Genomic DNA, 24,953 nt, shown 5'->3' with positions numbered 1-24,953 from the left:
AGCTCATAAGAAAAAAAAGCTCATAAGAGAGTACTATGAAAAATTGTACAGTAACAAATTGAATAAAGTATAAGAAATAAATAAATTCCAAGATACATGCAAGATACCAAGACTGAATCATGAAGAAAAAGTATGAACAGACCAAAAATGAGTAAGAAGATTGAATTGTAATAAAGTCTCCCATCAAAGAGAAGCCCAGAATAGCTTTACTGTTGTATTCTACCAAACACTGAAATAATTAGCAATCCTTAAACTCTTCCAAAAAAAATCTAAGAGGAAGGAATACTTCACTTACAAACTTTTTTTACGTGGCCAACATTACTCTGACACCAAAGCCAGACAAGAACAAGAAAAAGAAAAGAAAAGAAAAGAAAAATTATAGGCCAATATCCCTGATGAACATAGATGAAAGAATCCTCAATCAAATACTAGCACACTGAATTCAACAGCACGTTAAAAAGATAACTTACCATGCTCAAGTGGATTTACCCCAAGGATACAAGGTGGATCAACATACATACATCTATAAATGTGATATACATTAACAAAATGAAGCCCAAAATTATATAATCATCTAATTAGATGCAGAAATAGCATTTGAAAAATTCAACATTGTTTCATGAAAAGATTCTCAACAGAGTTGGTTTAGAAGAAATATACTTCAACATAATAAAGACCATGTATTACAAGCCTACAGCTCACATTATATTCAACGCACCCTCCAAATCTCAGGCTGAATTGTGATCCCCAGTGTCAGAGGGGGTGCCTGGTGGGAGGTGTCTGTGTTATGGAGGTGAATCCCTCATGGGATGGTGATGGTATCCAACCCAACCCTCAGGAATGGGTTTGCATTTTACCCATAGTAGAGTTACCATCAGATCTGATGGTTAAAAAGAGTATGGGACAACCCCCTCCCCACCTAGCTCCCTTTCTTGCCATGTGACACAACTGCTCCCTCTTTGCTTTCTTCAATGAGTAGAAGTTTCCTTAGGCTTCAGAAGCTAAGCAGATGCTGATGCCATGCTTGTATTGACTGCAGGACCATGAGCCAAATAAACCTCTTTTCTTTATAAATTACTCAGTCTCAGGTATTCCTTTATAGCAACGTAAAATGGACTAACACAAATGTTATTGGTGATTTATGCAATGGCCATTTTAAGGGTGTGGTGGGGGGAAGCCATATTTAAATATATTGGAGGTGAGAAAGACATGAGGAAAAGATGAAGATTCCTTACTGTCTCTCAAGTATGGCAGGCATGCTCCTGCCTTGTGGTCCCTATACATGTCATCTCCTTTGCCTGGAATGCTCTTTTCCCAGATATTTATATTTCTTTCCCTAACACTCCCTTCAAATCTTTGACCAAATATCACCTTTTCGGTGAGGCCTTTCCTGACTAGCTATTGAAAATTCCACTCAGGGGAATTGAGAGATATTGGTCAAAAGGTACAATGTTTCAGCTAAACAGAATGAATAAGTTTTGGAGATCTACTGTACAGCATAGTGACTGTAGTTAACAGTCATGTGTTATACCATTGTCCCTAAATATCTGCAATATCAGGGGGGCGATTCGTTCCAGGACTCCCCAAGGACACCAAAATCCTGGGATGTTCAAGTCCCTTATATAAAATGATATCATTTTATATTTGCATGTAACCTACGCATATTTTTCCATACACTTTAAATCATCTATAGATTACTTATAATACTAATAAAATATAAATGTTTTATAAGTAGTTGTTATACTGCATTTTTTTATTTTTATTGCTTTTACTGTATTTTTTGTGGGTTTTTTGTACAAATAGTTTCTATCCAGTTGGTTGAATGCCTGAATGTGGAACTCATGGAAACATAGGGCCAAAAGTATACTTGAAATTTTTAGAAGAGATTTTAAATGTTCTCACACAATAAAATGAAAGTATGTAGAAGTGATAAATGTTAATTAGTTTGAATTAATCATTTCACCATGTATACATATCAAAAAATCATCTTGTATGCCACAAATGCATAGTTTTTTAATAAAAAATATCCAATCACCTATTATAAGGCAAGCGCATATTGAACAAGTGCCAAGTGAGCCTCATATACTGGATAATGATTCCATGGAAAGTAGCCTTGCTTAACTGGGAAAAGACCCAAGTGACAGAGTAGCTCCCTATGGAAAATCGTAACTGGTTTAAATGACAGCTTAAACTCCAGAATGTCTCACCAAACAGTCAAATGCTAGTTCTGTGAATTGTTTTTTCTTCTCATGTGAATCTGTATACTGTTTTTGTCAATTACATCTTAGTAAGGCTGGGGGTAAAATGCACCTCTGCCAGCTCCCACACACACTCCCTATTGACCTGACGTTTCTAATTTTTCTCCACGTTTCCTCATCACTCCCTAATATACTATAGTTTACTTATTTATTTAACACCTGTTGTCTCCCTTTGGAATATAAGTTCCACATAGGAATTTTTGTACATTTTGTTCACTGCTATGTGCATGAGCATTTAGAGTAGTCCCTGGAACATTCACAATCAATTATTATTATTGAATTAACTAATCAGTTTTTAATATTAAAATATAAATATAAATAATATAAACATGTATAGTAAATTTTACACTTAATTACAAACATTATGAATATAAGTGTGATGAAAGGAAAAATTTTAAATGTTAAATGGTTATGTTGTATTCTCATGCATATGTATGTTTTCTCAAATTTTTCTATAATAAACTTGTAGTTACTCTTGTAAAATATCAAAAGTGAGCATTTGTTAAAATAAACTCATGTAAATAAATTTCATGCTTTCTGAAATGGCCATTTCAGAGATGTAGCGTAGGTGAAGAAGAGATGAGGACTCCCTGCCGTCTCAATCATGCCAGGCGTGCTCCTGCTTCGTGGCACCTACACATGCCATCTCCTCTGCCTGGAACCCTCTTTCCCCAGATGTTTATATTTGTTGCCTCCACACTTCCTTCAAGTCTTTATCCAAATATCACCTTTATGAGATTTCTGAATTTTTTATTCATCTATAACATGCAAAAAGTACAGTGCACAAATCCTAAGTATATTGCTCAATGAATTGTTATCAACTGATACTCCTGTGTAAAGGTACCTAGTTCCAGAAACTGAATGTTATCAGCATCCCAAAATCCCAACCTTTTCATTGAGGCTTTCCCTAACTACCTATTGAAAATTGTGCCCAGGGGATATGGGGAGACATTTGTCAAAGGGTACAATGTTTCAGCTAAAAGGGATGAATAAGTTCTGGATATCTACTGTACACCATTAACCTTAAGAGAGATCTCAAAAAGGAAAAGAACTCACAAAAAAAAATTGCTGTAAAGGATACACATGAAAGGCACAGAAGGGAAGTGGAGGGAGTGCAGAGAACTGTGGGCTGAGTCTGAGCCTCAAGGCTTTTTCAGCATAAAATGCCACAAAGACTGTTGATAAGCAAGCCTGTCCCCCATTTACTAAACTTAGGCAATTAAAATTTTATCACTACCCAATGTATCAAAATTTTATCACTACCCAACACTGATTTAAGGACTCAACACTCTGACTTGAGAAAACCTGAAGTACAAAAAGTTACCACAAAGGTGGGTGAGACTCTCTGAGGAGCTCAAATATATGTCTTCAATGTGTTCTAATTGCAAATTACTTACAATTTGGCACAACATATTGGGAGAGGAGTAGTGGAGTGGTAAAAATCAAACCTAACTTCAAAATATTGTAAATTATGGCTCTAAGATCATTCTTAATGACCCAATATGTGCAGTGAGGCTCTTCTCTTCCTCCTCCATGTTACAGTTGAGAACACGAAAGACTAAGCCATTCACATTACCCCAGGGAAGGCAGAGGGAAAGGGCAGTCCAGGTGTCCTGAACTGTACTGCTCGCAGGGGAGGCCTGGCCCACCACTAAGTCTGGATACTTCCAAACCTATCCTTACATGAAAACAATATCTGCGGACCATTTCATTCCAATTGGTTTTGGGTCCTAGTTTCTGCCCAGTGGTCAAATCCAGAAACCCAATCAGGACCTAGTTTCAATGAGTGGCTCTGAGCTTAGCTAATTAATGGCTTCCTGTCCCAAGAAAGGTTTCTTGTTTTTGTTTGTTTAATTAATTGTTTGCTATTGCACTAAAATACTTTGTCTTACCTGACAATAGTGAGCTCAGGATTATCTTGGCACATTTGGTTATGTGGTTTGAGCCCTCCCAGAGTGTTACTGTCTACTAGTTACCCATTAAAGTTTAATAAGGCAGAAGACAATGAGCTTGCTAGAGATGTCACAGAGCCTTTGTTGCCATGGCAATAATTGTTGGACCAGATCACAGAGAAGTATGTAAGAGACAAGAAAGAGAGAACTGCAGGAAAAGCTGAAGCATAATAGTTTTTTAAAATAGTCTCTAAACTTATAGTGGAGTAATGTGTTTAAACTTGTGGGGAAAACTACTTTACGAGAAAGGCTGATTTTCCAACATCCTCTTAAGGAGATATGGTTTTGGTTTTATGGAAGAATGGTTTCTAAGCTACATTTCTTCTTCTTTTTTTTTTTTTTTTTTTTTTTTTTGAGACGGAGTCTTGCACTGTCACCCAGGCTGGAGTGCAGTGGCGCGACTTCGGCTCATTGCAACCTCCACCTCCCAGGTTCAAACGACTCTCCTTGCCTCAGAATCCCAAGTAGCTGGGATTACAGGTGCCTGCCACGATGCCTGGCTGTTTTTTTTTTTTCTATTTTTAGTAGAGATAGGGTTTCACTATGTTGGCCAGGCTGGTCTTGAACTCCTGACCTCATGATCCACCCGCCTTGGCCTCCCAAAGTGCTGGGATTACAGGTGTGAGCCACTGTGCTCTGCCTACATTTCATCTTAAAGTAAAAGTAAACGAATTGGGATTAATTTGGAAGCACACTGACTATTATAATACCAAGAACTTCATATGAAGGCAGATAGCCATTAAAATGGCAGAAATTCAACAAGATTTTTAATAGATGATTGGGTCAGTGAGAAATAGTTTTGATGTGCAATATGAAACCCCAAATATTCCAGGGGCTCCTGCAAAGTGTAAACTTGGAGTTTCCTTGACTTAGAAGTGAAAGAACAGCAGGATTGGAGGTGGGTGAAAGAAAGAACCTAGTGATCTAGGTAATGTCACTTTGGATAACATTTGCTCTAAATTGCTCCCAGCATCAGAGTAGAGCTTGGGAGGAGTGAGTCTGTATTTCAAAGCCCAGGGTTTCAGTCAGTGTGAATGAGACAGTGAGGATTATCCTGCCCTCTTGTGCTTCTGAGCCAACATACCAGGGCTTGAAGAGGAGTGGAAGGAAATGAAGAAGTCACAGAATGCCTGACTGAAGAAGCAAAGTGCAGAAACACATCGCCTCCCTCCCTCCCTATAGAAGTCAAACTCCCCCGAGACTGCTCATCACTATCAGCATGGGATGGCAGTATATTTACTTAATTAGCTAAAAGTGAATAGAGCTTAAAGTTTAGCCCTTAGGTGGGATTTTGCCGACATAGACTTCCTAGGACTTTTGTCCTATCAGAGTGGCCTGTTGTACTGTGAGCTTCTTGTGTCAAAGGTTAATTAATCTTGTCTATCCAGAGTCTAATGTTCAAATGCATGTTCATTTAATCAGGCTGTTTATAAAGTAAGTGGTTTAGTGACAAGATTATTTAAGAAAAAGTCCCCAAAAATATACTGTTGACCAGAGTAAATTAAAGGTGTAAACATTTAATAATGCCTAGAAGCCCTAATCAGAATAGATATAATTTTTACCATTCTAATCTTTTGAAAGAAACATCACAACTAGAAATGAAAAAGGTCATGTTACCACTGACCCCACAGAAATAAAAAATAACCATCAGAAACTACTACAACCACCTCTATGCACACAAACTAGAAAACCTGTAAGAGATGGGTAAATTCCTGGACACACCAATAACCTGCTCCAAAATTGCATCAGTAATAAATAGCCTACCAACCAAAATATATATATATTTTAAAAAGCTCAGGACTAGATGGATTCACAGCCAAATTCTACCAGATATGCAAAGAAGAGCCAGTACCATTTTTGCTGAAATGATTCCAAAAAACTGAGAACTGTCCAACTCATTCTATGAGGCCAGCATCATCCTGATACCAAAACCTGGTAGAGACACAACAACAAGAAAAAACTTCAAGCCAATATCATGGATGAACATTGATATAGGGCAGCTTATGATTAGTATCATGACAAAGACACAAAGATGGTAAAATAAAAATTCAAGGATGGGGCCAGGCATGGTAGCTCACACCTGTAATCCCAGCACTTTGGGAGGCTGAGGCAAGTGGATCACAAGGTCAAGAGATAGAGACCATCCTGGCCAACATTGTGAAACCCTGTCTCCACTAAAAATACAAAAATTAGCTGGGCATGGTGGCGTGCACCTGTAGTCCCAGCTACTCAGGAGGCTGAAGCAGGAGAATTGTTTGAACCCAGGAGGCGGAGGTTGCAGTGAGCTGAGATCACACCACTGCATTCCAGCCTGGGGACAGAACGAGACTATGTCTCAAAAAAAAAAAAAAAATGCAAGGATGGAAAAGGTGCTTTGCTTAGGGGAAGAGGGGAAAACATTCTGGGGGGAAAAATGTCTTTTGAACTGGATCTTGAAGGAGGGTTTTTACAGGTGTAGGTGGAGATAAATAGAATTCCAAACACAGAAAATGATCACAAAAAAGAGAACATAGGAAACTGAACCTATTCAGAGAATGAAATGCTGTCTACTGTCTAATTTATCTGTAAAAGAGAGTAGGGAAAGATAACACCAGGAAAGTAATTTGAAGTCAATTTGTGGAGAACTTGGGAACTTGAAATCATTGATGGCTTTTGGAGCAGACAACAAGATCAAAGCTATGTTTTAGGAGTTTCTAAGTATTATGATTAAGTGATAATAAAGGTCTGAATAAACATTTTCCTCCATAGTCTTTCAAAGTGGAAGTGTGCTTTTAGACAGATGTCTGTAGTCCTAGGGCATACATCCCTGATGTCCTCAACTACTTCACAGCACTTGGTATGAGCATTCACTCACACATGAGTGTTTAGCTACACTATATTGGCCCCTAAATGCCATAAAGTAAAAATAGAAGGGACACAAATAAAAGTCAATACTTCTTTCATGTTAATTGGGAAGTCACATGTTCCTCTCAAGTATTTCTGTCAATTAACTTAAATGTTGCTACTTCTTATACTTTTTTCTCATATCTAAAGGAATCTGCCAAAAAAGTGCCATCCTTCTAAAAGTTATTTCTAAATTCTGTAAGTTTTTGCTCAATATGTGACAATGTTGGAACATCAGTATTTTCCTCACTGGGCTGTATATCCTCCAACATATGCACAGTAACACTTGAAATGTTCCTAAACATTATGTCAGAACTTTTGGTAACATTTTGTATCTTATTTCTCCTCAGACTGTGTCTTCTGGAAGATTTTTTGGAATCCGTCTGGTGGGCAAGCTCTTTGTAAATAATGATGTCTTAGAATAGTTGTCATTACTCTTTACTGATTCTTCAGAGAATATCTAATCATTAACTTTTTAAAGATTCATTGGCTTGGAAGATAACTTTCCTAATGCTATAGAAGCTACATCCCAGGAGAAAGTGAGTTTTATAAAGTGCATTTTTAATTTTGGGGCCACAATAAAACTGTCTAGCTGGAGGCAGAATATGGTTTATAAAATAAATCATTTAGAGATTTGGTTCATGTCAAAACGATGATGGCTTCACCTTTTGAGCACTGCTGAGAATCATGACACTCCCATGTCAATCCGTTTCCATAATTTCCTAATGTTGGTTTATTAATGTTTCTGGTTGGAAGCCAATTAAAGAGGCATCTATTACTAAAAGAGGCACAAACATAACTTCTAACTAGTCATACCAAAAGAATTCCTAGAGCACTGGTGTAGAGATCAAATTGGAAGAAAAACTTCTGAAAATTTGTGTTTCTTCTCAAAATGCAAGCCCTCTTGACATCTAGAACTCACATCCCTCCATATTTCTGAGGAAAAAAAAGTTTTTTCAGGTAACTCAAATCCCTAAATACATTTTTAGAAGAATGTAGGAGGAAGTTTACCTATAACAAAAAAAAGTGTTTAATTTCTGTCATTTAGTAAAATTTTTCAATTTTATAAAAAGCATATAAGGAAAATCAATCTCCAAATTTTATGAAATACCTTCAAAAATAAAGTTTAATGTCTAGATCTTTGCAAACTTTTGTACATAATGACTAAATCAATACTGTATTGATTTTATCAATATAATAATCACTGTATCAGTTTATGAAATTAAGGTAAAAGATTAATCAGAAACTTAAAGCCTTCCCTTTCTACAGAAAACAATGCAGCTTTACAATATTAATATTAAAAGTCAATATTGGTAAGCAACATTAGATAATCACTTAAGCTAACAACAGCAGCAATAGAAATTCAGAGATAATGGCTTTAACGTGATAGCTACCAATTTATTTTAAAATATGTGCATTTCTTTTGCATATGTAAATAATGTTAAGTAATATGTTTAGCTGAAATGTAAATGGTCAAAACTTTCCTTGCTGAGTCTATTGCACTATAAGTTGGGTTTGCAGTAAGAAACTAACACATTTGTGCCTTCTCAAAGTACTAACTTTGGGTTGTATGCTATCCAGAAACTATATTAAATCATTTCTGTCCCAAAATAATGACCTTACAAAAGGAATTTAACTTTACCTAGTTCTATCACGATTGCATATTAAGGAGAGATTTAGAAGCTGGCAGAAGTTTTTGTTCAATCAGCTACCTACTAAGCCCAAAACTCATATACTGTATAGCCAAGAAAAAGTAAACTATATTCTCTTCCTAATTATTCTTTTGAAAAATGACTTCATGTTCATTGTCTTCTCTTCATTCTTAAAAAAGGAACTCATTTTGTAAAAGAGTCCTGACTGATAATGTGTCTCTTGACCTTGCAGGTCACTGGCCCAATGAATGTCTCTGAGCCAAATTCCAGCTTTGCTTTAGTAAATGAATTTATACTCCAAGATTTATCTTTTGAGTGGACAATTCAGATCTTCCTCTTCTCACTCTTCACTACAACATATGCACTGACCATAACAGGAAACGGAGCCATTGCTTGCGCCCTGTGGTGTGACCGGCGACGTCACACTCCCATGTACATGTTCCTGGGAAATTTCTCCTTTTTAGAGATATGGTATGTCTCTTCTACAGTTCCCAAGATGTTGGTCAACTTCCTTTCAGAGAAAAAAACCATCTCCTTTGCTGGATGTTTTCTCCAATTTTATTTCTTCTTCTCTTTGGTACATCTGAATGCTTGATTTTGACTGTGATGGCCTTTGATCAGTACCTTGTTATCTGCCATCCCTTGCACTATCCTAATAAATCATGACTGGGCATCTCTGTGCCAAACTGGTCATACTGTGCTGGGTTTGTGGATTTCTGTGTTTCCTGATCCCCACTGTTCTCATCTCTCAGATGCCCTTCTGTGGTCCAAACATTAATGACCATGTTGTGTGTGACCCAGGGCCACTATTTGCATTGGCTTGTGTCTCTGCCCCAAGAATCCAACTGTTTTGCTACACTCTAAGCTCATTAGTTATTTTTGGTAACTTCCTCTTTATTATTGGATCCTATACTCTTGTCCTGAAAGCTGTGTTGGGTATGCCTTCGAGCACTGGGAAACATAAAGCCTTCTCTACCTGTGGGTCTCATTTGGCTGTGGTATCACTGTTCTATGGCTCTCTTATGGTCATGTGTGTGAGTCCAGGACTTGGACACTCTATGGGGATGCAGAAAATCAAAACTTTGTTCTATGCTATGGTGACCCCACTCTTCAATCCCCTTATCTATAGCCTCCAGAATAAGGAGATAAAGGCAGCCCTGAGGAAAGTTCTGGGGAGTTCCAACATAATCTAAGCCATATTAGATTATTCCTCCATGATCAGATCAGTACAGTCTAACAAAGAGAAATCAGAATTATATAGTTATTTAAATCTAAAAAATATGGATCTAGTGATATTGACTATATCAGCCTATGAAATTAAACACCTGTTGGGCCCCTTACAAATTAAAGTTGCCAAATTATATAGATAAATGGAAGCGTGTGGCTTCCCTTTGGCACCTAGACTGAGTATTAACTGAGGAATGTACATATTTGGGTGTTTTCTGGATAGTTTCCATCTGATTCATCTGTAATAAAAATTCTTTAAGTTCTATTTGACTTAAATTTATTGTTCTGACATTGACAAAATTACATCTATGTTATTTTGTTTGGTTGGTTGTAAATAAAAGAAGAAAAAACATATTTTCTGATTGTGATTCCTATCATATTTGGCTTTATTATTTGGTGACATGGTCATTTCTAATAAATAAGCCCTTATAAGCAATTTATCAACATTTTTGTGGGACAATAAAATATTCTAGCCTAATGACATCCAAACATTACTTCCTTCTGAGCCCCTAAAGGGCAGATTCTAATTCCATCTATAGTAATATCAGTCAAAATATTCACAAATGCATTCTTCTAAATGCCTAATATTTTTACCTAAATAAGGTATCACCAAAAACGTGATGGGTCAATTTATTGAGTTTTAGATAATAGAATATCTCCCCCTAAAAATTGGACAGGGCAATGGTGTACTTGTAGATACACTGCTTAAGTTCAAAAAATAAAATCAATGGCAGTTCATTGTCATTTGTTGCTAAAAGAATGTGAAAATAACATGAAGGAAAATTTTTAAAGGAAAAAAGCATTTATAGTTCAATTGCTCTAATGTATCTATTTTTGTTAATATGTCTGTTTCATGTGATTTAATGTTGAACTTGCTCCCATTTATAGCAAGTTTTCATAATTATCATCCTTAGAAAGCATAATATTTTATTGAACTAACATGCCATGAATTGTGAATTTTTATGTGGGGAGATGAACATTGTCCTAGACGAAGGGCCTTCTTTCCAAGAAGCTAAGAGCTGACTAGTAAAAGGGAATTTTCAGAAGGGATATTAGGAGAAAAATGAATGCCTCTACTACACAAGAATGACTTCTCACAGAATTTGTACTGTGGCATTCTGGGGTAAGGTTACTGAACACTCCAACACCTTCCTTCCTTCTACCACCAATTTTTTTGATGAACATTACAGTTATCCCATTTTTTGTTATAAAATAATATCTCAATAAAATCTCCATAAAGATTTGCCTTGATAATATTTTGCAAACCTGAATTAGGACTCATCATCTAATCTGAAACAGACTGTCCCAGAAAATACAGAATATAAGAATATGATGTATGTGCAACAATTTTCCTTTCAGATTTTTTGTCTTATAACAGTTTATTGGGAAAGAGATCATTATTCAGTTCAAAAGGTAGGAATGCATTTGTGAATTGGGGCCTGGACATTCCAGGTAGAACAATTATTTGCTCCTTTGATGTAAGACAGTATCAAGCTTTTAGTCAATCTTATTAGAACTCTGCCATATCTCTCACTTGTATAGCCGCTGAGGATCTTTCCTGTTTCCATACTCCTTTCCAGGGTATATGACTTTTAAGTTACCTGAGTTCTGATCAGCAAATGGACTCAGGAAGAACAGGTAGTCAAGGCAGGCAATATTTCCACCACAGTTTCGGAACTCCCTACTTTGTGGTACTAAGTTAATACATTTGTGCAGCCACTACCTTTTCAAAGGTTTCTTCTTACAACCTCAAATACTATGACTGGTTCACAACCTTTTCCATAGTGCTAAATTATTTGACCAAACACCGCATATATACCATATTTTTTCAAAGCCAAACTGTATCCCAAAGAGAGAGAAGGAGAGAGAAAGAATAGCAGTAAAAATACAGTGTTATTTCAGGTTGATATTTAAAAACAATTGTGCTGGTTAATGGTTTCCTCGGGGGAAATGACAATTGAAAGTCGGTATTTTCTACTTTCAAATACAAGTCATGGTGTTTATTCGCTGCCTTTACAACTGAATAGATGGAATTCGCTGAACAAACTTTGATTCTACCCTCAATTACAACTAATTCCCTCACAAAGCAAAATTTATTTCACAACTAAACATTATGTACATTCAAGATTACTAGAAAACTTAGGACATAAGGTGCAAGTGCGACAATATTAGGAGAAAAGAAAGAGTGTGTATCAGTTTAACAGGTTTTCACATGCAAATTCACCACCACAGGGTTCGCTGTCTTGGCAACATTGAAAATAATAATAATTAACGTTTTAAGACACCTATTTTGTGTCAGGCAATGTTCCAAGTCTTTTCTATGTATTATTTTATTTCCTACTTATGAAACCCAAAGAAATTGGGTTGGTATTATTGTATCTCTAATTTTTGAAGAGTGAAACAGGCAGAAAAGGTAACTTGCCTAGTTGGAGATGGCATCTGATCTCAGGCAGGCTAACAATGGAGCCCACAGTTTTTACTACTATTAGGGGAAAAGACCAACACTATCGAATGAAATAGATTGGATCAAATCTAAGTCACTGATTGTGTGAGCTTATGCAAATTATTTGACCTTTCTGCCTAGATTTGTTTAGACTATAAAATAGAACTAATGATAATACTTTTGTCAGACAGTGGATTTGATGATTAAATGCGGTAAATCAAGGTAGGATCTTACACATAGTATTTATGGAATCTATTTCAGTTAATATTATTAATGTCTTTCATTTGTAGGGCTCTTCAGCATTTCCCAAACACTTTTATATAGTTGTTCAGTTCATCCTCACAAATTCTGTCATCACACAGTTAAGGTAGACATTCCCATACTCATTTCACTGATGAGATTCAAAGAAATCAAGTATACTGTCCAAGGTCACCCATAGTAAGTGAAGGAACCAGTTCTTCTGACTTCAAGTTCAGTAAGAATTCTGCTGTACCATACATCCTATTCTGGGAAATGTGGCTAAGTCCTGTGTAGCTAACTTCAGAACTACATGGCCATGCAAGCCAAAGAGCTGGATTTACCCCAGAAATGAATACTGTAGAGAAGAAATGAGTGAAGTAGAAGAACTAAGGGATTTCTTTCCAGTAGTTTTAAGGTAATAACTAGTCAAATTATACAAATATTTATGTAAAACGTATTTCACGTGCAAAATATGTCACTGAGTGAAAATGGCAGATCATGAAACAATAGTATTATATAATCTTACACAAACATGAAGTCATGGGATTATGGGTAATTAAGATTCGTTGTTTCCTTTTTTATGCTAATATCTTTATTTCCTAATTTTTCCATGACAAATATGCATTTTTTGATCAATTTACAAACAACATGGAGTAACAAAAAATTAGTGTTTACAAATGGATGCATAATTTAAAGCAATGCTTTTAGACACACCACTTACCCACACTTCCCCTCCACTTTGTGTGTAAGGGAAAGGATAATGCTACTGTCTTTGGTAAGCTTTTACCATGTCTTTACAGAGCTTCTCAAGTACTTTTCCATGTGGGGTCACTTTGTGGAGAGGAGTTAATTTGGCACCCTAGTCCTTCTATTTCACTCAGAACCAGCTTTTTCTGCAAAGGAAAGAGTGGTCCTTGATAGCAAACCCTGGCCTTGTGGTTTTCATTCTAGATGCTTAGAGCAACAACAACAACAAAAACAAAAGACAGAGACAGAGACAGAGAGAATGGAGGAACATGTCATACAATCAAATGAACCTTCCCAATCAAGAACTTTACCTGGGAACCTCCCATCTACACTTGTACACATCTCTCCCCCCAAGCTCCCTGCTTACTACTAATACAAGAACCAACTTTAATTAAAAGAGGGTTTGAATTGTTATGTTTTTGATACCTACCTTTTTTTTTTATTATACTTTGTTTTAGGGTACATGTGCACAACCTGCAGGTGTGTTCCATATGTATACATGTGCCATGTTGGTGTGCTGCACCCATTAACTTGTCATTTAGCATTAGGTATATCTCCTAATGCTATCCCTCCCCCCTCCCCCCACCCCACAACAGGCCCCGGTGTGTGATGTTCCCCTTCCTGTGTCCATGTGTTCTCATTGTTCAATTCCCACCTATGAGTGAGAACATGCGGTGTTTGGTTTTTTGTCCTTGCGATAGTTTGCTGAGAATGATGGTTTCCAGCTTCATCCATGTCTCTACAAAGGACATGAACTCATCATTTTTTATGGCTGCATAGTATTCCATGGTGTATATGTGCCACATGAACTCAAACAAATTTACAAGAAAAAAACTAACAACCCCATCAAAAAGTGGGCAAAGGATATGAACAGACACTTCTCAAAAGAAGACATTTATGCAGCCAAAAGAAACATGAAAACATGCTCATCATCACTGGCCATCAGAGAAATGCAAATCAAAACCACAATGAGATACCATCTCACACCAGTTAGAATGGCGATCATTAAAAAGTCAGGAAACAACAGGTGCTGGAGAGGATGTGGAGAAATGGGAACACTTTTACACTGTTGGTGGGACTGTAAACTAGTTGAATCATTGTAGAAGTCAGTGTGGCGATTCCTCAGGGATCTAGAACTAGAATTACCATTTGACCCAGCCATCGCATTACTGGGTATATACTCAAAGGATTATAAATCATGCTGCTATAAAGACACATGCACATGTATGTTTACTGCAGCACTATTCACAATAGCAAAGACTTGGAACCAACCCAAATGGCCAATAATGATAGACTGGATTAAGAAAATGTGGCACATGTACACCATGGATACCTACCTTTTATTTATCTGTGTTTATTATAAGAACATATTTTAAACGTTTATCTCTTCTGAGTTTTTATTATGAGCAAACTGGGCACTCATCTCTTTTAAAGAACATAAGCCATTTATCTATCAAAAGTATATACTACTAGTCATCTTAATAAAAACAGAACCATTTTTAAAAGATAATAATTCAACTATGGCCAAAGAAGCAAAGTATCTATGGTTGGAATAAATAATTATTACTTTTTATTAAGTAATTCAATTACTCCACATTTTACTTAAGTGTTGGAAACTCAAGATCTATCCAGGGACTCAAATTTGCTGCACATAGTAGACTTAGATTCAGCTGCATATAATAGAAACTCAAGCTACAGTAATTTATGCAACATAAAGGTTTAGTTTTCTTCTCTCATGCGTGCTTCTAAAGATAGTCAGTCCACTGCAGTCCAGAGGTGGGCAGTGCCAAGATATCATCAGGGACCTAGGCTTCCCTGCCTTTTTGACAAATCTTTTGTAGTATGTGTTTCTTTCCTTAAGTTCACCTTATTACCTGAAGATGGCTGCTGAAGTGTCAGACAGCGGCAAAACTATATTCCGTTTATATATCGGAACATAAGCATGTCAAATGATAATCACCATAAACAGAAGAGACTGCAACATCTAATTTTTTAAACTGGGCACATTCTCAAATTGAATAAAATTGAGGTTGTATTAGTTAGGAAGATAATAAAATTGGGTGTTAAATATGTAGCTAACAAACTTTGCCACACATGTATTGGGTATAAAATTAAGAAAATGGACATAAGTGATAGAAGTTTAGAAGTAGCCCCTCTTCTCAAAAGCCTCACTCTAGGAGGTTGATACACCTCTTAAGCAAAACTTTATACCCAAATGAACTGCAAAAGAGACAGAGTTGGTGGATAGAAAAGTTTTTAAAAAACAAAAATGTTGATAAGCCAAAAAAAAAAAAAAGACACTACAAAAACTCTTGCAAATGTCTATGGAAAAAAATAAATTTAAATTTATTTCCCCTATTCTCCACAGAACAAAAGGCCCACATACGGTGCTTGAAAAATAAATGCTTGGAATGGTGCTGGGAAAACTGGCTAGCCATATGTAGAAAGCTGAAACTGGATCCCTTCCTTACACCTTATACAAAAATCAATTCAAGATGCATTAAAGACTTAAACGTTAGACCTAAAACCATAAAAACCCTAGAAGAAAACCTAGGCATTACCATTCAGGACATAGGCATGGGCAAGGACTTCATGTCTAAAACACCAAAAGCAATGGCAACAAAAGACAAAATTGACAAATGGGATCTAATTAAACTAAAGAGCTTCTGCACAGCAAAAGAAACTACCATCAGAGTGAACAGGCAACATACAAAATGGGAGAAAATTTTCACAACCTACTCATCTGACAAAGGGCTAATATCCAGAATCTACAATGAACTCAAACAAATTTACAAGAAAAAAACTAACAACCCCATCAAAAAGTGGGCGAAGGACATGAATAGACACTTCTCAAAAGAAGACATTTATGCAGCCAAAAAACACATGAAAAAATGCTCACCATCACTGGCCATCAGAGAAATGCAAATCAAAACCACAATGAGATACCATCTCATACCAGTTAGAATGGCAATCATTAAAAAGTCAGGAAACAACAGGTGCTGGAGAGGATATGGAGAAATAGGAACACTTTTACACTGTTGGTGGGACTGTAAACTAGTTCAACCATTGTGGAAGTCAGTGTGGCGATTCCTCAGGGATCTAGAACTAGAAATACCATTTGACCCGCCATCCCATTACCGGGTATATACCCAAAGGACTATAAATCATGCTGCTATAAAGACACACACACACGTATGTTTATTGCGGCATTATTCACAATAGCAAAGACTTGGAACCAACCCAAATGTCCAACAATGATAGACTGGATTAAGAAAATATGGCACATATACACCATGGAATACTATGCAGCCATAAAAAATGATGACTTGATGTCCTTTGTAGGAACATGGATGAAATTGGAAATCATCATTCTCAGTAAACTATTGCAAGAACAAAAAACCAAACACCACATATTTTCACTCATAGGTGAGAACAATGAGAACAAATGGACACAGGAAGGGGAACATCACACTTGGGGGACTGTTGTGGGTTGGGGGAGCGGGGAGGGATAGCATTGGGAGATATACCTAATGCTAGATGATGAGTTAGTGGGTGCAGCGCACCAGCATGGCACATGTATACATATGTAACTAACCTGCACATTGTGCACATGTACCCTAAAACTTAAAAGTACTGTAATAATAAATAAATAAATAAATAAATACACCAAAAAAATAAAATAAATGCTTGGAACAAGAGATGAGAAAACTATTTTAATGTCTCCAAAGGCAAACTTATGTCATTGTTATTGCAAGAACAGAACAGAAGCAGAAAAAATATTCAAAAGGGCTTCAGTCAAGTCAAACAAAATATGAATTAGAGTATGGGGACTTTTCTCTCTTTGGGAGATTAAATTACCAAAACCCAGTTCTGGCTTTGATTTTTTGACTTCCTTCCCAAAAGTTTCCCACTGGCCTGTGTCCTCTGGAAAACAAGATCCGACCATTCAGATAAACATCCATCTTTCCTCTTCTCCCTCTATTCCGTAATCCCAACTTCAGTAGGAAGGTCATGTTCCTTCAGCAAGACTGTGGGTCCCTCTTCAATTGTACTGCCATAAAGGGAGCACTGGGATGGGGAGGTAGAAATGGAGAGATGATGGGGTGCTCTTACTGCAAGGAAAAAAACTCTCCTGGAAAATGGAGATGGAACTTGTTCTTTCAGAGATAGGAGGATATTATACAAAGTTAGTGGGAACTGAAATCCCCAAATCAGACTGAAAAAGAGGAAATCAAAAATAGAAAAGGTAGCTGGGAGGGGAAAGGGAGAGAATATGATGCAATTTGGGGAGATGTTAAGAGGTTAACAAAGCACTCTCCTTCTTCCCTAGAAATTCCCACCTGACAGTTAATAACAAGGGAGTCACACCTGTGTGTGACAGAGGGCAGCCAATGGCCATTGTGGAGGAAAGAATCACCGAAAAAAAGGCTTTACTCTTGCTGCACGATAAAGTGGAAAAAAAAAATCCTTCCTGAGAAAGTTCAACCTTGTCTCTGCTGACTTCCATTTTCTCTGCTCAGAGGTAAACAGCCGCTAGATAAGCCTTGTGGACAAGGTGGAAGAGCAAGTAAGTAGAAACTGACAGGGCAGAAAGCAGAAATGAAGAATCTCTCACACAGAGAGACTCTGCCCCTCTCCAAGGGAAGCCAGAGGCTTGAAGCCAGGCAGGGATTAGGTGGCATTTAAGAGGAATCTGTGTGTTAAGACTTGCCACAATTTAACTGCTCAAGTAAGGAGCTGTCATTTGTGGATAATGTAAGTATGCTTCAGGTGATACTATCAAACTTGATTTCCTGAAAGCAAAGGACCACTGCATAGCTCAGAATTCTATATTCCTAGGATCTCTACCTCAAAACCGTTGCGTCTTCTTGGTCTGAGATTTACCCCAGCCTCTGAAATCTCCCTGAATGCTAGAATAGAGAGGGAAGCCCAAGAATAACAGGGCATGCTATTTGACACAGTCAGGGCTCAAGAAACAGACTTTGAAAAATGTGAGGAAATAGCCATGGAAATAGGATGATGGAGCACCAAATGTATTGAATGATATCCACAATGAGGTGGATGGCTTTGCAAGGTTGAGTCATCTAGATGATTCATTCCCAGGACCTTCTCAGGCCTCCTCTGAACTTTTCACTGAAATCTGAGGCATGTACACTACTCATGCTCCAGCTCCCTTTGAAGAGACATTATTACTCAAGGAAAGGCAGCTTCTGTGCTTCCAGAGCCAGCTTTCTGTGGTCACCCAGCAATGTTATCTCAAGAGAAAGACACAGAAATCCATGTCCTTTGATAGAAAATCCTCCTTTGCTCAAGGGCATGAGTTACTGAATAAGTCCAAGGAGGGTGACACTTTTCATTCTTGTTTGATGTCTGTCATTCTCAGAGCACCAGCCTGATCTGCCTCTTTCCATCTTTTCAGGGACCCAGATAGGGGACACATGATTATTGCTGATTTCATAATAGGCAACTGGAGGCTTTACCATGAAAGATGAATAAGTAAACAGTGCAACTTGGAGGTAGGGCTGGCCACCTACCACTTGGTGGCCAACGCAGGGACTGCTCACCTCCTGCTGCTGTTTCTGGAGCCTGTTGATCAGCAGCAGCTGCACAGCTACCACCGCTTTACCCGGTAGCTTCAGAAGGAGGACTATTTTGATTTACCCCAAGGTGAGGTTGAGTGGGATGCCTTCTGTGAGTGACTTTGGAGAAGGCTAAGGAAAGCCAGATGAGAAAGAGAGGATTAGAAGCTGTGAGAGGTTTAACCAGGCAGAAATCTCTCCCAGCAGGGGCCTGGATTGCCATCACATCACTGAAGGGAGGGCTCACAAAAGTGGTCTGCAGGCAGTGCTTACTCCAAGCCCGCTTTTTACACTGAAAATGATAGTTGAAGACAACATATTTGAAAGCACCTGCAAACAAAGTTCTTTCAAAAAACAGTTCTGATACCCTGCTAGTCCTCTCACACAAGGCATTCCCTTAAAAAAGAATATGCAAAAATGGGTTGGAGAATGCTATGTGCATTTTTCAAAATGAATTCCTTCTGCCTCCACTGAAAGCAATGTGTTCACTTGTTTGATAAAAAGCTACTTTATTCCAGAGGAATGAGGCAAGAATCAATGAGCTACTTGTCAGTGTTCTAAAGCTAAATTGCAAATTCAGAGTTTCTCTAATTCATGAGGTTCTCACAATAGTAGTATTGCATGAGTGAGAACAATAGTTGTGATCCTGTATTACATATGAGGAATCCAAGCACATAAAGATTAGGTGACTTACCACTGTGGCACAGCAAACTGGATCTGGTGCTCATCCTCTGAGTCACAGTCCAGGGCTCTGTACTCTCTACTGTCTTCCGCTTACCTCCAACTGATGACAGCTTACCTTGCTACGGAGTTAAATGGGCAAAAACGAGGTAAACATCTTAAAAATACACACGTTATCTATTTCTGAGAATATTTTCACAAATTTACAGAGATTTTGCATAAAATTATAAGTGCCCCCAAACAGAAGGATAAAGTACATTGATAAAAATGGACTATAATGTTCTCATTAAGAATCATGTTTCAAAGAACACATAGTGCTATGGGGAAAGACACATGATATATTAAACAAAAGTATTAACAAAACTGCATGCACTACGATTCCAATTTTGAAAATAATTACATAGATATCTAATATACGAAATACAGAGAAACAGAGGAGGCTAGAAATGGTCTTAGAAATGGTATTGTGGATGATTTAAACTTCCTATACTTTCCTGTGTTATTATTTTTTTCTAAAATAAGCACATGTTGTTTTCATAATATTAAAATAAATTCTCTTTTGTAAATGGAAACCTTAGTGTAGACTAATTAGTTTAATTCTCTACTTTTTGTTGGCATGACATGAGCTTGAGAGAAAGTATAAATGTCTAAATCTGGAAAAACACAGCAAAAAAAAAAAAGGTAAAAAGTCACTGCAAACAATTTCAGAGACCATCTGTTAGACAAATGGGCCAAAGAGGGCTTCTTTATATAGCCCCCTAGGGTGTTTACTTCTTTACAGTAAGCTGAATCCTGTTAACTCAAATGCCATAGATAAGATAAATTCTGGGGCTGTAAAGACCCCAAGTTGCTGCTGTACTTTGGAGCTCTCTGACACAGAGTCCACACTGGGCTACTCAGCAACATCACCTAGACAAGCAAATCTCTCTCTTATCGCCCTCTCCCCCGAGCGCTCTCTAGTCCTCCTCCCCTTCTGGATAGAGGCCTGATGCCATAGCCTCTGAAAGGTAATGCATTGAGGGACTATCCCTGCATGAAAAGCTATCTAAGCAGCTCCCCCAGGAAAACTGCCACCTCAGGGTCAGCTCCTCAAGTTTTGGCTCAGAAAGTGAAAGACTTCCACACACATTGCTTCAGGGAAAAAAAAAAAAAAATTAGCAATTTATTCCTTAATAGAGTTGGAGTACTTGTAGTCCTGTGGCATAACCCTGGGACTTTGCTGACCACAAGTCCAGTATTTCATCCCCCCTCCTTTTGTCTGCTGTCAACTAGTGTTCCTTAGAAAATATTATTATTGTTATCAATGTTAATAAAACTTCACGTTCTAATTAGCCTTAATATTTTCCATTACAGTTTTTTATGTTGTTGAAATCAACCTGAATGGTTTTTTTCTTGAAATATCTTAGATCGTATCATGGAATTTCAAGATTGAAAGAAATTTGCATCTGATGCTTAGATACCCTCTCCCACTTTCCCAACCTATATCTGACAAAAGCAACTGATAGAAAGTATTGTTCTTCAGCTCGTTCCATCATTGCATATATTTCTCTGTTAAAAAGTAAGTCTCCATGATGAATTAAAATGTGTCACCCTATAGAATTATAGTAATTCTGTACTTTAGAGATTAAATGGGACAAATTCAATTGCTTTATTAAATAATTACCCTTCATTTGTTTCAATAAAACTTTTTGTTCTCCAATTTAAATATCCCAATTCCTTCTACTGTTACTCATTTTCCGTACTTCTAAGTCCCCTCTAGTTGTTCTTCGCCAAATTCACTATAGCTTGACAATGTACTTCTTAAGTGAAACTAAAATGACAAATTCATGAAACAAGTGGGCAAATAGTTTAAAGTTAAGTACCACTAAAACAGATATTGATCCAAAAATCTCAACATAAGTACAGAACCCTTGGGGCTGGCACATGTGCAGAATTGTAGAAAGAAGGGAAGAGATAGATAAGCCTTTGAAGCATTTTGTAAATTCTTTGCCATAACTGACTTCTGTCTTTATATCCTTGGACTTCATAGAACCCCTTGTTCTTACATTTTCAGTCCTAAATCCAGTATCATCTATTTTGTGGGAAAACATAGCTATGTTAGTATAAAAACATATATCAAGGCTTCCAATTATATTTGATATTCTGATTCAGGCTTAAGGTCAACTGATTATTCAGATTAGACCCAGGCCTCATCATCTTTCCCTTTTTCCCTAAAGGCTGAACCAATTAAGATCTCAGTTAAGAAACACTTTTTGAGATCTTCCCAAAACTTTCTCACTGTTATCCCTAGATGAGTCCACTTGGAAATGTTGGATGATCCAGAAGGGTCAAAAATAAACCTTGGCACATTTATTTAAAAATGAAGCAGGTGGAGACTGGAGGTCAGCAGTGAAGACTGAGTGTACACACAGCGTGCTCTTAGTCACCACTCCTCCAAGAGGAGCTGTCCAGGGTATGATAGCCATGGCTCAAAATGTGTCTGCTACATACTCTCCTAAAGAGTCAGGTGTAATCGGTGCTTCCTAAATCAGGAAAGACTGCAGTGCCCTTTACATCCGCTTGTAACCACAATATGGTTATTGGGTGGGCTCCAAATAACTGCTATACTTGATAATGTTACCTTCCAACACTGACCCTTTTAAAGGCCTTCTAAGAAATTTTGGATGTGAGCGCCACTGTGTTCCTCTTTGCTGAACACTTTCTCAAATGGGAGACCAAGGAAGATGAGGTTGACTCATGTATTCCAGCAGACAGAAACCTAACTTTAGATGTCTACTCTCTACATGTTTCTATAATTCTCACACAACAGCTTCAGATAAGGCACAGCTCAGATTTTTTTCATGTCTTTTCCACTTTCCTTTAACCCTGTGTTGCATTTGGAATCAATCACAATCTTGAAAGACACAGTTCCAAACACCATAATCGAATGTTGAAAATCAAAAGAACAAAATCCTTAAAGTCTAAAATTCCAAAAATCGCCATCCCAAAAGACTGAAATCCTGAAAATTTAATTCTGGAAAAAATAATTTTAAAAATTCTTTAAGATATATTTATTTACATTTTTAAAAGGTATTTATTTGAGTAACATATAAAAACACAAAAATAAAAACACAGCAGAACACTTCAAAGATCACCTTACACAATAAAATAAGCGATAACATACATTTTTGCAAGCATAAACATTCAGGCCTTCTATCAACAGTCACACAAGTATAAGAGTTATAAACAGATGAACTATATTCATGAAGAAATAGGTCAAAAGGTGAAATATGTAAATGCATATCATTGTGGTTGGTAATTGTATGCACCCAGCTCTATAACTGTAGTCTTCTGAAATACCATGATAGACAACATAAGTATTTTCATGATACTGATTAATCACCACCACAACAGTCACCTAAAGAACCAAGATCTCAAGAAATAATGTTTTAAATGTTTCTGTAGTACTGTAAGGTGAATATAGTTAACTATAATTTATTGTGTATTTTTACAAAGCTAGAAGAGAGGATTTTGAATGTTCACAAGACAAAGAAGTGCTAAATGCATGAGGCGATGTGCTAATTACCTTGATTTGATCACCCCATATTGTCTATGTGTATTGGACTAGTACTCTATATCTCATAAACATAATTATTACATGTCAACTAAAAATAAAAGGAAAAATATATTTTTAAAATGTTAACTCAAAAATCTTAGCTTAATAGTTGTAAAGAAAGAAGACTCTCCCATCAGAGTGAAGTGGGAGTGATCTTGCTTCAGGAAATGAAGCTGCATCAGCATAACAGGACTTTGACCTGAAGTCCTAGCTGCTGGCTGAAGCAGCCACTGAGGAGCCTTTGACAGCAAAATCTGTAAAAAACATTGCGTGATAGGCATACCTAATCGTTAAAGATAAAAACAATACATAGGTACACGAAGACATTCGTTGTATCTCATATTTTCTATAAATGTTCTAAGGAAATGTACTTGTTGCCTAGAGCTCATTTAAGAAACAAGGTTCTCTTCAGTGCAGCATGTGCTGTTTTAGGGACCCTGCCAGTGTCCTTCCAATAGGACCAATGCTCTAAAATCATCACATAAATAAAGTGTGACAAGAGTTTCAGCTTCTTGGTTTCGTACTCCTCCCTCAGACATACTCTACTTTGTACGTTTACATTTCCTCTTATCTATCTCAATTCTTCAAGCTTCCTCATTGAAAAATAAGCCCTGGAGAATGAATGGAATATGTAAATAAATGAAACATCCACCAGTAGATTATTGTTAAGAACTGTAGTATGTGTACATGATAGAATGCTTCCCCGTATTAAAGTAAATATTTTTAAAGATTATCCCAAAATATGGGTAAAGACTTAAGATAGGCTATTAAAGTGATAAAAATAGAATAAAAAGTAGAATTCAAAATTAGTCATAATATGATTCGAAGTAGAAAAAATAGGAGTAATGCAGCAAAGTATTAGTAACAATTTGATGTAAATGAACTGTGCCATTAATAATTTTTCTATATTTTTCATATTTGTCCATTTTTTGTTTCATTTTCTAAATAGTTACTTAAATTGTGCAAAATTTTCTCTACAGTATAAATGTCTACCAACAACTCAGAGAGAAAATGTCCTACAGTGGCATGTAACTTCAAATGATCCAGACCTTTACATAAGTGCTAAAAAGTGTTAATGGTGTCATTTCTGGGAAGGAGGTGCCCTAGAAGAGGGAAACAGACTGGATTCTCAGGCCTTTAAGGTTGTCTTCTTGAGACAGTCTCAGTGTCCTAACTATCAGCACCGTGTATGGAGCCGAGACCCAATTTGCATATTTCAACAAGCTTAATTTTCTCAACAGTTATGGCTTTCACTTTCCCCCATCTTCTTCCAGCCATCTCTATTTATACACCCAAGAAACTTTCAGATTTTCCTTAGTTTCCTCTCATAACACAAACGTGCCTGAGATGTTATCAGGCACATTTATCATTCACATGTCTCTTGAAGGCGTTCAGAAGAAATGAATGGTATCCTTTCTCCTGGAACTGCATCCCACCCTGGAAACCAAATGCTGTTTACATTACTCTTATAGGATTTTTCCAGACATATGATAAAAGAAAAAACTTCAGCTGAATTAAATTTAAAGGAGTTGAATTGAGCAATGAATGATTCACAAATCAGGCAGCCCCCAGAATCACAGCAGATTCACAGAGGCTCCAGCACAGCCATGTGGTGGTAAATTTATAGACAAACAAAAGGGAAATGACATACAGAAATCAGCAGTGAGTTACAGGAACAGCTGCATTGGTTACAGAT

General features: G+C 37.1%; 1 pseudogene; it reads left to right on the top strand.

Annotated features, from left to right (window-relative positions):
• Positions 1 to 4,990: 4,990 nt before the first annotated feature.
• LOC107987380 (olfactory receptor 11H12-like) lies at positions 4,991 to 9,938 on the top strand (annotated as a pseudogene).
• The last annotated feature ends 15,015 nt before the right edge of the window (positions 9,939 to 24,953 follow it).

This window comes from Homo sapiens (genome assembly GCF_000001405.40).
Source record: "Homo sapiens chromosome 15 unlocalized genomic scaffold, GRCh38.p14 Primary Assembly HSCHR15_RANDOM_CTG1".
NCBI classification, from domain to species: Eukaryota; Metazoa; Chordata; class Mammalia; order Primates; family Hominidae; genus Homo; species Homo sapiens.
This window is presented reverse-complemented; position numbering and strand designations above follow the sequence as displayed.